Source organism: Homo sapiens, chromosome 9 (assembly GCF_000001405.40).
Source record: "Homo sapiens chromosome 9, GRCh38.p14 Primary Assembly".
NCBI lineage: Eukaryota > Metazoa > Chordata > Mammalia > Primates > Hominidae > Homo > Homo sapiens.
The window spans coordinates 27,324,933-27,340,620 of NC_000009.12; the positions used below are offsets into that span (position 1 = coordinate 27,324,933).

Below are 15,688 nucleotides of genomic sequence, written 5' to 3' on the forward strand. Positions count from 1 at the left end.
CTGCACCCACTGTCTAACCAGTCCCAGTGAAATGAGCTGGGGACCTCAGTTGGAAATGCAGAAATAACTCGCCTTCTGCATTGATCTCGCTGGGAGTTGCAGACCGGAGCTGTTCCTATTTGGCCATCTTGCCAGCCACCCATGTGTTTTCAAATGAACTTTGAATTGGTTTTTGTAGAATTAACAGCTTTCCTTTTATTTACCTGTTCTAGGACCATTGCAAGACAACCTATTTATTAAAGAAATGAACCAAGCATTAAAAAAAGACAGACTAGATAATGGTTATATGCTTTTTATTTGTGACATTTGAATACCCAAGCTCACATATAACTGATTTCCTAAATATCATTTAATTTTATGTTGCTTTTCTAATTGATTTAATTGTTAGTTTTCCTTATAGTCAAATGCTTAATACAATCATAAATGGAACCAAAAATATAGTAAACATTTCTTTTTCTGATGTATGTAAAAAAGATACAGGAAAATTCTGAAATCAGATCACTATAAGCTAGTAAAACAGGCGAATTATTTGATTAGAAATGGACTCTTCCTTCATAAGTTACACAAATCCTTATGTAGTCACTGAAAATTCTTACTCAGAATTAATACCTGTCCAGAGGGAAACAGCCTGTTATAAAAGCTTTCTGTTAATATATTTTTTAAGGCAGGAAAACAATCATTATTTCCAAACACACTTTGTTTGTCTAATTCTAGGAGAGAATCACCAATTTCTTCAAGGTCCAAAATGATCAGAACAAGAATGACAACAGTGTCAACCAAATGATGCCTCCAACTCCTTTTAATGATTGTGCCTTGGTACACATTTCCTCAAAGATAATGGCTATACTTTTCCCACAATCTTTTTGCTTTTGTTTTCTCCCAGTGTGGTACTCATGGAGTATGGAAGGGACATAAGGTTTAGAGAACATAGGAAGCAATTTGCTTCCATCAATAACCAGAATGATGGATTGACATAAATCAGCACAAAAAGATAAGTGTAATTCTATTCAAGTCCCTTAATGTTTTGCCAATTAAGGTTTTTTTTTTTTTTTTTTTGAAACAACAACAGTGTAATCTTTAACAGGGATGTTAAAGGTAAGAAGTCAGGAAGATAAACCAAAATGATTGAGTATGATAAAGAATTTTGCATGGCGATTAAAATAGAAAACCTATAAATGTAGAAAAAGCAGGTCTGGACTTAGCAAAGAAACAATATAGTTTGGAGAAGGCATGAAATAAGTTCTTTTCATGTTCACTGCTGGTCACAGCCATAACAGAGAGTGATGTGGAGAGCTTTGGGAAGGTTTCACGTTGAGTTACATCAGTGGTCAACAATGGAGCAACAAGACTCCGTAGAGGATGCCACCCTGGGAGAATTGCAAGGGAAAGGAGGCTGAAGCACAACTGGTAATAGCCTTCAGATATTTAATGGATATGCAAATAAAGCTCTGATTAATTGTATTTTCACTTATTATATATCATCTTTGGACCTTTCTAAAAGTGGGACACTAGAAAAGATATACTGAAACTCAAAAAGAATACTTCAGCTCGAGTTGAATGGAATTCAAGATGTTGTGGAGGGTTCAGTGGGTTGGTTATACCAAAGAATGCTATAGAATTTCCATGCCCGAAGAACTGTGAGAGGAGTATAGATTTTTTCACCAAGGAAGTTACTGGCATGGTTTGAGAGATAGAAGGAATTGATTAAGAAACCTCTCAAAGTTTCTTCCACTTAACCTGGCTCTGAGACTCTGGGTCTTTGGAAATGAGAAAATACCCAGGGAAGAGAAAACGAACAATTTAAGAAGCAGGAAATGACTCTAGATCAGTATTTCTCAATTACAGCCGTGTAAGACATTTTCTTCCTAATCATCTCTCCCTTGCACCATCACCATGAAATTTTAATACCACATAAATACTTTGTATCTGTTTATGTACTTGTGATCCTTTGGAGGGTCACAACTCACTGTACTATCTAAGAGTTTTCCCAAAAAAACCATCTGACAATTAGGGAGTGTGTGCTCTCTATAAATAAACTATGGGTCCAAATGGGAGGTCATTGAAGACGGGAGAAAAAATAAAAGCGTTGAATATTTCACCTCTGGCTACAGGGAGCATACAAATCCTCACTTGCCCATGCTCTCACGTATTGCCTGCACATGGAAACTTCCTTCTTCCCCTCCCTCCTGTTATATGGAAAGGGATGAATGCTTTGCTAGTGCTATATCATCTGACTGCAATGCTTATAATATTTTGGGGATCCTGGGCCTCCTTGAGAACATTAAGGGATGAATGTACGTATGCACAGCCTCACACTCTATAAATGTATGTGTCCTGAATTTCAGAGCTTAATAATGAATTATGGAACTTGATAATGATTGGATCAGGCAGACAACACCTGATCAGTCCTAATATCAGAAAAGAGACAAGTAGACATTATGTGCTTCCTGAGGTGAGGCAGTAGTAAGGAAACAACATCACACATGTAGCAGTCTTGGGAAAAAAAATGTAACCTGTATCTCGTAATGAGGAAACAATCAGTAAAAAAGTCTAGATTGTGGGACATTCCACAAACTTGCCTGAACTCTTTAATAATGTCAGTGTCATGAAAGACACACCACACACACACACACTGCACATCATACACAAACACCACCCCACCACCCACCACTCAGACACACACAAAAGGGCAACTCTAATCAATTAAAGGAAACAAAAGAGAATGACAACTACATATAACGTATAATTCTTGATTGGATCCTGGATTTAAAAATAAACAGCTATAAAGGATATTTTGGGGACAACTGGAGAATTTTGAATATGGATCATATATTAGATTTATGCAGTATCAGTGTTCAGTTTCATGGGCGTGAAAATATTGCAGATTTATAGGACAATGCTCTTATTAAAAGAAAGAATATGATGAAGTATTTTACATTTTCATGATGTCTGCAACTTATTTTCAGAAGGTTCAAGAATAAGAATGTGTATTTACAGTGAGAAAGAAAATGTGAGGCAGGTGCGGTGGTACATGCCATAGTCCTGGCTACTCAGGAGGCTAAGGTTGAAGCTCACTTGAGGCAAGGGGTTCAAGGCCAGCTTGGGTAAAATAGGGAGAGACCCCTTCTCTTAAAAAAAAAAAAGGAAGAAAAGAAAACAAGGCAAAACATTAACAACTGATGCACTAAAGGACATAAGGGTACTCACTATAATCTTTCAACTTTGAAACTTTTACTTTAAAATTTCCCAAAATTAAAATGAAAGCAGAAAAAGAAGGAGAGTAGGACAGGTTAGGAAGAAGAAGGAGGGTTGTCAGTCTCTGACCCAGAGGGCTGAAGCTCCATTTATAACAGAGATGAACAGTTAGATGCAGTCAAGCAGAGGAGATAAAAATTGACTGCAGAGATTTTCTTCAGAATGTGCCAAAGTTCTGTGGGAACAGGAATATTCTGTGATTAAAAAAAAAAAAAGGGTAGTTTGCCAGAATTTACCCTAGAAGAGTTCATTAGTGCAATTAACAATATAAGCAGGAGGAAATTCTTCCAAGAAGCTTAAAAAGATTTGGATTTTTAAATTGAGTGGAAATTTCATATGCACAGTTAATAAAAAATAACCTTAAAAAGAATGAATAACAAAGGTCTCCAGATTCCAGCCTCCTGCTCGATTATGCACTGCTGAAATGCAGGAACATATTCAACTTTTTAATGTAAAAATCCTGTGGCGTTCCATGATGCACAGCTACAGAGTTCCTCCAGGGCATGGGCTCCGTAGTTACCTCTCTGTGCCACTGTGCTGCATTCCCATCTGGTAACTGTGTATTGCAGAGGCTGGGACTTAGGGGCTCTTGTTTCTGTTCTCTGGATCTCTGTGATGGTCAGATATTCTTTTGGCCAAAAGAGATGTAGGGAAAAAACTTTGCCTATCTTGTCCTCTCAAAGTTACTTAGGAAGGGGGACAAAAGTATGTTTATTGTTGACCAGGGCACAGCAACATGGTGAGGTAGCAGCAATTGGATTCCGTGAGATGACCTTTACGAGACACAAAGCAAGGTTCAGGCTGCTTGGTTAGGTCAACAGAGAATGCCACTGTACCCACAGAGACAGCCCTTTCTTAGCTTGGACAAAGATTTCATGATTCTAGTCTTTTGTGGCAGCCACAGAGGGCTTTAACACATTATGATTGATAAAACAAAATCAGAGTCATTTAGTTATTCTTTAATCATTATTACTTTAAAATACACTAATACATTCTTATCTACTTCCCTCCACCGACAAATATTTTGCTAAATTAAAAGGATCACTGGAAGTATTATGACCCCCCTCGTCACAGGTGGTCAGAACCACCACAGTTTTGTGAATGAATCAGAGAAGGCAACATTTCATCAACGAAAACTCATTTAGGTTTCAAAAGGCAGGATGTAGTACAGAATGCATTATTCTGACTGTCTTCTGGAATAGAAAAATTGGAAAGGATGAAAGAAGGAAGTTAGCTCCAGCTCCACTGTTACCTTGGCAACCGTGGCCCAATCACAGGGGCAGAAATTAATTTTGTGCCGTAACATAACGTGGCAGAGGAGTGGGGAGCGTGGAGTGGGGAGAGAATGACGGCTGGGTTTAAATGCTCAGAAGGCTAGTGGGGAGGGTTACAAGTCAGCCGTCTGGGTGTTAAATCTACACGTACCAAATAACCAATTGTACTTTTTTCACTGAAATGTTAGTATTATGTAGAGACAGCCACGACTCCCTGTCTTTAATAAAGAACAAACACTGCAGTAATCATGCCCAACGCTCCCGCTGATCATTCTTAGTTATTTAGGACTTTTATTTCTCTCTTCTGGGAAACAGGAAAGAATATCTTCCACTGAAGAGACAAGGAATGATGGTGGTTATAAAAAATACATTCTGATCAGGTGAACTGGTAACTTGTCAGCTTTACGCTAGTAACCAGTCTCTTCCCTGCAGTTAGAACGTGAAGACCCTGTTTGGGGCAGAGACAAGCCACCCCATGGAGTGTCCCTGATAAAACTATTTATTAGGGAAATGCTATGGACGCCTCGGCAGGGAGAGTAGGGAGGTGCAGGGGATGGGTAGGGGTTCAGGTGTCTCAGAGCTCCACAGCCCTGCACAGTGTTAAACCACAGATCAGAGCAGGAGCTTTTAGAGACCTGAAAGGAAGGCTTATTGCATAAAAACTTGCTGCACATCCAGAGGTCCAAAATTCACCCGGCACTTAAAAAACCAATCACAGAGAAGTCGGCCAGCTGACAAGACAGATAAGTGGAAAAATACGAACACGCATCTCAGTCTCAAAACCTGAATTCCAGTAAAGCTTAGGCGGCAGGTCACAGGCAGAACTGTGCCATGTGTGGAAGTGCAGAGGCTTCCTCGTGGACAATTCCCCAGCCAGAACGGTCAAGGGGCTGGTCCTTCTTTCACGTTGTGGTCTGCCTCGTCCACAGGTCTGGGCTAGCAGCACTCAGAAGGTTAAGAGCACACAAAGTGAGTGGGGAATGTCTCTCAGGAGTCACTGCTTGCCTCCACCTCTGCTGTTCCTGGGAGTAGGTGTGTCATTTCAGCCAGGGTGGTCCACCTCCTGCCCGCTCAGGGCACCAGGAGGAAACAGCTTTCCTTTCTTCCAAAGGGTGAGGTGGAGCATTAGTGACACATCCTGCTCGTCATTTCTTTCTGGAAAGCAAGGGGAAAAGGATGGTTAGGAGAAACTATAAGCAGAGCAACGATTTGGTGAAGGATCCTGAAAATGCTCTTGGAATCTCGAGAGCCTGTAAATGAAAGCTTGCAAGCATGGTCCATGAATAAGGCTTAGCATGAGGGTATGTTCCATCTGTTTGTTCTGCAGAATTTTTTTTTTCCATTAAGGCACTGTTTAAAAATTTGACTCATGTATCAAAATTCAGGTTGCTTGCTTGCTTTTTCTGAGAAATTGCAAGATTTGGAGCTTCTGAACAACTGGAGTTGAAGAATGGCTGTCCTCTTCAGCAGAAGAATTTGCTCTCCAGTTTGCCCCAGTCCTTGCCACTCCCACCTGACTTCCCAGCAGGAGCCATGTAGCACTTATGAACTGATACAGTAATTGGATTTGGACTGCTAGTTTTCTTCGAGTAGGGAAAGATTTAAGTTTCAATCAAAGATGGAAAAATAAAGGATAAGTGGGTATAAGTCAAGAAAAGCAGGAAGGAGGACATTTTTAAAAATAGAAATGAATAATACACCAAAGTGTCTGACATGCGTCACCTGCCTGGCTCTTGTGGGTATTTATAGATCCCGAATAGCCATCCTTTCTCTACCCCTGGGGCTCCGCACAGGTTGAGTCCCATGCCTATGGTCCGCTGCTACCACATCCTGCGCCTGCCCCTCTTCATTTGTCAAATTGCCACTCATTTTTCCACCTCAGGTAAGGTGACTTTTACCTGCTGGGAGACCTTCCCGCACTCCTGCCCCACTCGCTGTGGAGGTAGCCACTCTCTCCTCCTGTGCACACATTGATTCTTACATGCAGTGTATGAATTTGTACATCTCTGTGTGTGTGTGTGTGTACTGGGGCTCTGGACATGTCTGTTGGCCCTGCTAGACTGGGCGCTACTAAGTGCCAGGAAAAAGAAGCACTCATTGAATCGCCCCATGTGCTTTCATCTTTGTAGCCCCTGCCCCTGGCACTGTGCCAGGGTAGTGGCTCCTCTTTCATCTCCAAGGATGGTCTGAGGAGCAGGCTAGTAATGAGCCCTGTGCCATTTAGCATCTTGAGAAGACAAGTTTCATGTCACTTTAGTTAGATGAACGATCTTCCAAGTTCTACCTGCTGCAGAGCTGACTGCAGCTACTACATCTCTTGCATACTGACCTGGACTGCCACACCTTATATAATAGGAAACATCGAGAAAAAGGAGACTGAGTGTGGGAGTGCCAAGGTGTTCAGAGAAGCGTTCTATTCGAAAACCATACAGATGTGCTGGTTAAAGAAATAACAATAGACAAGGCAGAATCTAGGCACTTTTGCATCTCTATAATTATTAATACAGGAAGTTACAAATCTATGTGTATATCTAATTTTTTCAATTTTTAATTTTTTCGACAGGATCTTGCTGTTGCCCAGGCTGGAGTGCAGTGGCAACAGCTCACTGCAGCCTCAACCACTCGGGCTCAAGCTATCCACCCACCTCAGACTCCTGAGTAGCTGGGACTATAGGCACACAACACCACACCTGGCTAGTTTTTAAGTTTGTTGTATAGACAGGATTTCACCATGTTGCCCTGGTTGGTCTCAGACTCCTGAGCTCAAGCATTACCCATCTTGGCCTCCCAAAGTGCTGGGATTACAGGTGTGAACCACTGCACCCAGCTTTTGGCTTAACTCTTGATGACACAGACAAGGAAAACAAGATGGGAATACAACAAGAGCATGTGTGTGTGTGTTTGAGAGAGACAGAAAGAGAAGTAGGGAGAGAGAAAGTGTGTTCATGGGATAAACAGAATTTTAGCTTTATAACTTAATTATTTGCAATAGGTCTGTACTTTTGAAAAGAAAGAAGCTAGCTATAGTTAAATATCTATAAGATGCCAGGTGCTTTGGGGTGGTTATACCATTGCATCTGTATAACTCTAAGACAGGGAACTATGACCTCCAATGGACAGAGGAAGAATCCCAGTTTCAGAGCAGAAGCTATTTGCTCAAGGTAAATGGGTAAGGTACAGAATGCTCAACAGTAACCGCTGCTTTTATTAAACAGAGGCCTGCTGTTTGCCAGTCCCAGTGTCTACTGCTATACAGATATTATACTTTGTGAAGTAAGATTTGCCATCTCTACTGTATTGATGAGGAAAAACCCTCAGGGAAGGAGAGTACCTTACCAGGTCACATAGAAAGCTGCAGGTCTACGGTTTAAACTCAGGTCTATCTGACCGCAAAGGCTTGCTCTTTCTACTACACCATGTGATTGTAGGTTAAAGCCTCTAAGATAGTCTTATGAATATGCAATCGGATAATACTGGCATATATTAATTGACATATATAATTATAGGTGGTTGCAGTCATTCATGAATTTTCAAAATGCCAGATTTTTTTCTTTATCCAGACTGATGCCAGTTTGAATTATAGGTACAATGGGCAAATACTAGAACAATTATGCCACTGAGAGAGTATGGACACTAGAAATATGGCAGAGTTTTTTTTTAAGTAGCAGAGTAACAGTTTCAGAGAGGACAGGGTACTTATTCAAGGTCACTGAGATGCAGGATAAAAACTGTTTCCTGGGATGCCTCTTAAATTCATAAAGGGAATGTATGGTTGAAATAGCAGATCAGAAACATCAGGAAAGACATTTGAGTTGGATCCATCCTTCAAAGCTCTGCAAGACTCTGCAAGCTGTATTCTAGCACTTGCCCACTGGGTGGAGCCAATGAGCTGTTAAAAAAAAAAACTCGTTTAAATAAACAAATGGCAATGCTAGGTTCCATCGCTTTCTTCATCAGAGCCCTCCCGCAGGCTAGCAGGGCCAAACACATTCCTTCCTCTCTGAGAGTGTGGCCAAAATAGCTTCTACCCAGGGTGCTCTTTACAATGAATTTGCCATTGCTGGAGTTACTGAATGCCCTGTGTATTAAGGCAGGCCACTAAAGAACTCCAAAACGTGTATTAAAAGGCTTCCGCTGAGGTGATGAGAAGCTTCTGAGAAAGTTCCTGGTGACTGTGCTTGGCTTGTATATGAAGATTTTCAAAAACACCTGAATTTTTCAAAATGTGTTTTTAACAGAAGATCAAAGTAGAATCTTGGTTGTGGTCACTCGGTTTCATTTGTTTTAAAATAAAGCAGTAATTGATTCTATGAAGTCCCTGGTTCTCCACTGTCAACAAAACAAATTCCATCCTCTGAAGCCTGTCAAAGAAAGAGGACCCATCGCCCCCTGCTCACCTCCTGCTGAATTCCCTCCCACTCACCACACCAGCCAGGCAAACTAGACTTCTCCAGGTCTCCAACTGGCCAGTTTCTAGTGGTTTCTTTCTTATATCTGGTAAATATTTTCTGCCCTTCTCTGCCTGGCAAATTTTGACATCCTTTAAGATGCAATTGTCAGCTCCTTTCTTGGGTATCTCCATCACTTTGCACACATTTGCATTCTATCACATTGGAATTCATCATTTCATTTTTGCCTGAATCTGAGAAGAACATTAATATTTTTTAGTATATTAATGTATGATGCATATTTTATTCAAATTGTATAACAGGATGTATGGTTTGATCCAGTTATTTTGAGAAAAAATATAAAGAAAAATATGGGTCCAACATGATAAATTTATCTTTGGGTGAATACAATTGTGTATGTTTTCTGTTTCTAATTTTTTTGTCCTTTGCGGAGTCTGAAGTTTTAGATATTTTTGATATGCATGAATTTTTTTCTAAGAAAACAAGACCGGTTATTTAAAAAACAAAAAGGAAAGTAGACAGAGACTCCAATCTGAAATCATATTTCACTTTAGAAATGAAGTTAAAATGACATTTGCCTAGTTTTTGTGGGGACGGTGGGGGTGGATGAAATCAGCCTGTCTTTTACATAAGATACTCAATTTTTTCTGTTCTGATCTAAACACTTTTTAAATTTAAATCTTCTTTATGTACTTGTTAGCAGTTGGAAGAAGTTCTTGATAGCCATTGAACAAACTTCCGTGAACTCTAAGTGTCAAATCTTAGTCTAACCTCAGTGTACCCATTTTTATAACTGGTAGTCAGTGGAGGATAGGGAATAATGATCCAGAGAAGTAAAATGACTTATTCCAAGTCACACAAATACTCTCTGACTTAGGCAAGACTACAAAGAAATCAACGCTCTCAGTTTACTGCACTACATCATCACACATTTTAGTAATCTAATATTCTTTTTTTTCTTTTTCTTTTTGAGATGGAGTCTCGCTTTGTTCCCCCAGGCTGGAGCGCAGTGGCGCGATCTCGGCTCACTGCAAGCTCCACCTCCTGGGGTCACGCCATTCTCCAGCCTCAGCCTCCTGAGTAGCTGGGACTACAGATGCCCGCCACCACGCCCGGCTAATTTTTTGTATTTTTAGTAGTTAGCCAGGATGGTCTCGATCTCCTGACCTCGTGATCCGCCTGCCTTGGCCTCCCAAATTGCTGGGATTATAGGCATGAGCCACTGCGCCTGGCCCAAGAAGCTAATTTTCATATGGAACATATGAAGAAGAACACTTGATGTTTACTAGGGGACAGTCATCATGCTTGCACAGCAATTTTAATAAGTTAACTCTAGGAATTATGAAACAAGCGCCAAAAAGCAGTGACATCATCACAGAGTCATAGGCTGCTGTTATAGCTGGGAGGAAACATGGGTGTCACCTACTCCAACACTTTAATTTCGGAGATGTGGCAACTCAGACCATCGGAAAGTAAGTGACTTCCCTAATGCGGCAAAACTAATTAGTGGCAGAACTGGACTGCTGGCCTGTGGGCTCTCTGACTTCACATTGATTCGAAAGAGGCAATTTGTGTACACAGGATTTCTTAGAGCTGGCTTGATGTGCTGCAGGTAAAATCTTTATCATCTCATGATGCTCCTAAACTCCATTAATGGCTTTCAGTAGTTTTCAAACCAAGTCTCCACTGTAACATACGATGCTGTTCCTGATCTAGACTCTTCTCAGGCACTCAACCTCATCCCCCATCGGTGGCCGACGCTCCTTCTCTCCCATGGAACACACAACGATTTCCATACACATGCTCCTCTCTTCCCAGAACACCCTTCTCCCATCGCCAACACCCTTTAACGCTCTTGACCAGTTGTCATCTCCTTAGGGACACATTCTTCTACCCTCCCACCCTGTCCCCAAGGAATCCTAGGTGCTCCTCTTCCAGATTCCCTCAGTGCCCATGACACCTTTCACACTGTTGTGCGACCGTTTATCACATTCCTGGTTTCAGCACCAGGCTGCTCTTGAAGAGAGAAAACCTATCTGGTATTTGTGTAGACCCTGGTGCTCAAGACCTGGCACATACTAGGTGCTTAAAACATATTAAATTAAACTGAAATCCAATGAAAAGGAACACTTATTAGGTCTACAGACCCAAGTAAAATGAGAGGTGGAAGGAAACACGCATTTCATACCTACGATGGGGAAGGCACTTAGACTTACCTTGTGCACTTTCTCACAACTCTATGAACTAGGCATTACTTTTTCTAATTTACAGATGAGGAAAAGGAGGCCCAGAAATTTGAACTAACTTGCCCAAGTTCACCCAGCTAGTCAGTGTAACAATAATGATTTAGTGGACTCAAAAACAAAAACAAGCAAACAACATTCTGCTTTCATTACTCTGCTGGAGGGAGGAGCAAAAGAAAAGGAGTGAGTCTTTTTGTTTCTGTTGTAAAATGGATAAGGGGGGGGAAGAGCTACCACAGCAGCATTTCAAAACCCATGTCTTCTTTTAATTACCAGCTTCCTGCTAACTCTGAGACACCAGGAGAAAGGGGGAGGAAGAAATACTTGAAACAAAAAATAATCAAGGAAGAAAAGCAGTATGAAGAGATGTAGAAGGCTCCGCAGTGTGGTAAGGAGCAGGAGGACCCTTGGTGCTGGAAACTTTGGAAAAATGACTGTTATATACGTGAACTCCTGCCCCTAGTAACCACCATTAAACAGCCAACGGGTTAAAGCAGGGCAGTGAGCAGTACGCCTCTCTCAGGGCCACATCTGACATTATGTTGTGTACTTCTCACTAACCATTTTAAAGCCGTTGGATGTTTAATGGTGGCTACTAGGGGGAGGAGTTCACGTATATAAAGGAAATTGGGCTCTCTAATACAGCACGCCCGCACACGTGTATACTCATGCGTACACACCCCTGAAGTAATGGAAACAGAACGGAAAGTAGGAGAGATTCATCTCCCCCAGCACCTTTTCCAATCATGCAGCTTCATCAATACATTTTAAAGGTAAAATCAAATGTGATATTGCTGAAAAGACACGAGGAAAGCTGCGAGTCCCCCGGAAAAGGCCGTCAAAGGGTATTGCACGTTTCACAAAGTGCCTCCCTGCCCATTAATCAGCAGTGCAGCCTCAGTCCCAGCTACCGGCCCCGTGCCCGAGCTTGGCCCTGTGGCCTGCCGTCAGCCCCATCTCCACTCAGATGGGACATACCTGGAAAAGTGGCTTGAACTGCAGCAGAAGTACAGAAGCCACATTTCTGGCTGGGCTGGGGGTGGACAGCACCAAAACCCTACAACCGGGAAGAGTTTCATTCCCCACAGCAAGGCTAAGGCCCTCTAGGGGTAGAGGCCAGGTCAGAAAGAGGGCTTTCTGGAAGCCTTTCGTCTCACAAATTCCACTTCTTAGAGACTTAAAAATCTCCAGATTGTACCCATATTTCATTAGTTTCTTCTGTGATGGCTGTGGATTGAGAACACTGACCATCTTGAAAATTCCCTCTCTCATGGCTTTCCCCTGCCCTTCCTGCCTCCATTCCAAACAGCTGTGCTGGCGAGGTCTATGCCAAGGTTTCACGGCCCCCTCCCAACAGGGTCCTCAGCTCCTGCCAGCACTCACTTCCCTCAGGCCACATTTCCACACTCAATGTTACACCAACATTTTGCTATTTCCTTATCTCAAGATCTAACCCACTTATAGCAAAAGCAAGTCCCTCTGGACTGGGTAGTTTTCTTGGAGGAGTGATGAGGATGAGACCAAAGAAAATGAGCTGGCATCAGCAAGGGATTCGGGTTCTCAGCTATACCGTGTGGGCCCATTTGAAATCCTCTTGGACTGTAGACAGGGACAGCAATCAGTGAGGTTTCTTCTAGTGTCGTGGCGCTATGAGAGGCATGGTGATACTGTTGTCAAAAGAATCCCAAGGCAAGGGCAGGTGTGCTTTCAGGGGCTGTGGAATCAAAAGAGGCAGTGGTATTGTGGTAAGGCATTCAATGATCAAAATGAAAACCAACTGTTCTCTCTGAATCGTCCAGTTTGAAGGGCTCAGAATTCCCTGTGGCACCATGCTGCCTGTGGTCCTAGAGGTAACAGCCACATGATTCCAGTATGCACCAAGGCCCAGAAGCACCACTCTCTAATGCCTGCTGGTGTCCTCAACAGCACTGGCTGGAAAGGTACTGCTGAAGATCCAGGGAGAAATAAAACTGTTTTCCTGCATCTCCATTTCCTACTAGATCAAGTCCTCAACTTCCCATGACTTGCAAGGACTTCTGGATCTGCTTCCCGCCCCTGTCTGTGGCCTTGCATACACCTTGCTTCTGTTTATCTTGCATCTTTGCACACTTGTTCCTTCTGCATGGAGAGCCCTATTTCCTTGTTTCCTCCAGAGCACTCCAGTTCCTCTTTCCCAGCCCTGCTTGGGTGTGGGTGAAGCTTACAAGCCACGTAGGTGGGAGACAGAGCAATTCCCAGAAAGGGAGCAGAACTCTGGGTGTGATGAAAGAGAGATAGAGGATCCCAGCAGCGCCCCAGAGCTGGTTGCTAAGAATTTGCCCTGGCAGCTGGCTCTCCTTCAGACGGGGGTGCAGTTCTGCTTTGAAGGTGAGTGTCTGACTTCAAGGAAGACCCATGAAAAACATCAGGCTGCTTGCTGCAGGGAAATCCCCGGAAAAAGAGAGGAGAGAAAAAAAGAAAAGAAAAACAAACAAGCAAATACAAAACATCCCAAACAACTCTACAGCCAAGTCCATGTGGCAAAGCGGGAACCGTAGAAGGTGGGAACAACAGCAGGGCAGCTCTTGCCTGGCCTCGGGCACAGGGAGGCCACTGTGTCGCTGTCGGGACCACAGCTGTCCAAACGAGGCTGGCTCCCCACTTCCTGTGGTGTTTCTCTTTTAGCTTTCTAGAATCCAAATAGCTGTATGTATCAGAGGAAATAACACTGGCCTTTTCCCAAATGCCTTGGCAACTCCAGGGGAAGGACCCCTCCCACCCCGACTCCGGTGGACAGGCAGGTAACTCCACAAGTGGGGCCTCCTGGGGCATGACTTTCTAAGGAGCCCTCAGTTGCATCCTTGGTGCAGAGTGAGGGTGAGTCCAGGGCTGCTTAATCTGCTTTCCCGGACCATTCCCAGCTGTTTGTGTGAGGCTGTGGAGGGAGTGCTGCAAGTTAGGGATCCCTGGGAACCCTCGGGGAGAGTCTCCCTGCCATGCACTCCCCCTAGGCTCAGGGGACTTCGTTCTTGCCCTCAAGGCCTTTTCTGCAGTGGTCAAGCTGGTGGAGCTTCCTGCCTGGAAGCTTGTTTTCAGAGGAGGGTAAAGGGACCAGGAGTCAATGGTGGAATCCTTAGGCGAGGTTCAGGCATGAGGCCTAAACATTTTTTTAGGAACTATTTTTTTGTAACGTTGTTGTGTCTGTTTCAGAGCATCTGGGAGAGAGAATTCCAGTAGGGGCTGACATCAGCCACCCCAAATTTATTTTGGAACTAGGCTTTATTGGTATAAATAACTTGAGAAGTGAACGAATGAATGAATGAAGCCGTGCCAGGTCACAAGAGTCAGAGTGAACAAGATGGGGCAGTGATAAGAGAGCCATCATTAACCAAAGTGTCTTGTGTTCCGAATGGAGTAGTTTCTATCATTTCCTGCACCTTTTCTGTGTGCCAGGCACTGTGCTCAATGCTGGACATCATTTCATTCAATCCTTACATCAGTCTTATGGGGTATGTGGTATCATTCTTATTTTACAGAGGGGTAATGGAGGTTAAGTACCTCGGCCATGGCCACATCACTAATAATTACCCTGGCCAAGGTTGAAACTTGAAAACCCATCCTCCTAACCAGTCTACTATATCCTGAGCCATCGTGCTGAATATATCTTCATTCATATCTACATGTGCTGTTTCAGTTGAGTCTCTGAATCAGCGGCTGTACCACACCAGCATGGGCCACGGGAGTAGGGACTCGGCTGGCAGGACCGTTCCCAGGAGGCCCACAGCCAGGGCTGCTGTTCTTCCTTTGCTAGCATCCCAAAGTCTGAATTCTTATAAAGCAGGCAGGGCAGCCAGTCTACAAAAATATTTTTAAAATTTCCCCAACTCTAAGTATATACAGGATCCAACCAGCACACAGGAATTAGAAATGTTCTTTCTGCTCTCTTTTAGGAATGTGGGTGGCAAATAAGCCAAACGAAATAAAAATAGAAACAAGGCAGGCCAGACTTCCCTAAACCACACAGAACAATATTTATTTGATTAATTCTGTTCCTAAACAACAGCCCACATTACTGACACGGAGGGCGTTTCCACGATGGAGGGGTGCGTGTGTGTGAATGTGTGCACATATGTGCAGGCTCCCAAGTGCACATATACATATGTATGGCTAGATAAACACACACACTCGCCACCCACGGAGAATATTTATTCATACCGATACAAAAATCAAACTGCTCTTCTTTTTCCAAACCCTGCAAACATTAAAAATAAGTCACTTTATGTAAACATATTCAGCCTCCTGATTTACATTGTTTCTTATAAAGACAGAGCTGCACATTTTTGAAGTTCTCTCATTTAACCACAGGAGATGGGTTACGGACACATGGTGGGTTGCCTCATAGTGCATCGTGAAAGCAAGAGCATTAATCAAAACTGTTTGTGGTCACTGTATCTCTGCAGATCCCCTCCCTAGAGCCCCGCAGCCCACCCCTCATTCTGCAACTCTGTGCTTTTTTTTTAGCACCCTG

The 15,688-nt window shown here is 43.0% G+C and overlaps 1 protein-coding gene across 6 annotated transcripts in view; it reads right to left on the minus strand.

Annotated features, from left to right (window-relative positions):
• Window positions 1–276: 276 nt before the first annotated feature.
• The window catches only part of MOB3B (MOB kinase activator 3B), a 204,606-nt gene continuing 189,194 nt past the window's right edge, over window positions 277–15,688 (minus strand). For all 6 annotated transcript variants that reach the window (NM_024761.5, XM_047423892.1, XM_047423895.1 and 3 more), the window contains one exon: window positions 277–5,684. In NM_024761.5, the coding sequence (NP_079037.3) occupies window positions 5,655–5,684 (30 nt within the window). In that variant the 3' untranslated portion in view covers window positions 277–5,654. The remainder of the gene's footprint in view (window positions 5,685–15,688) is intronic.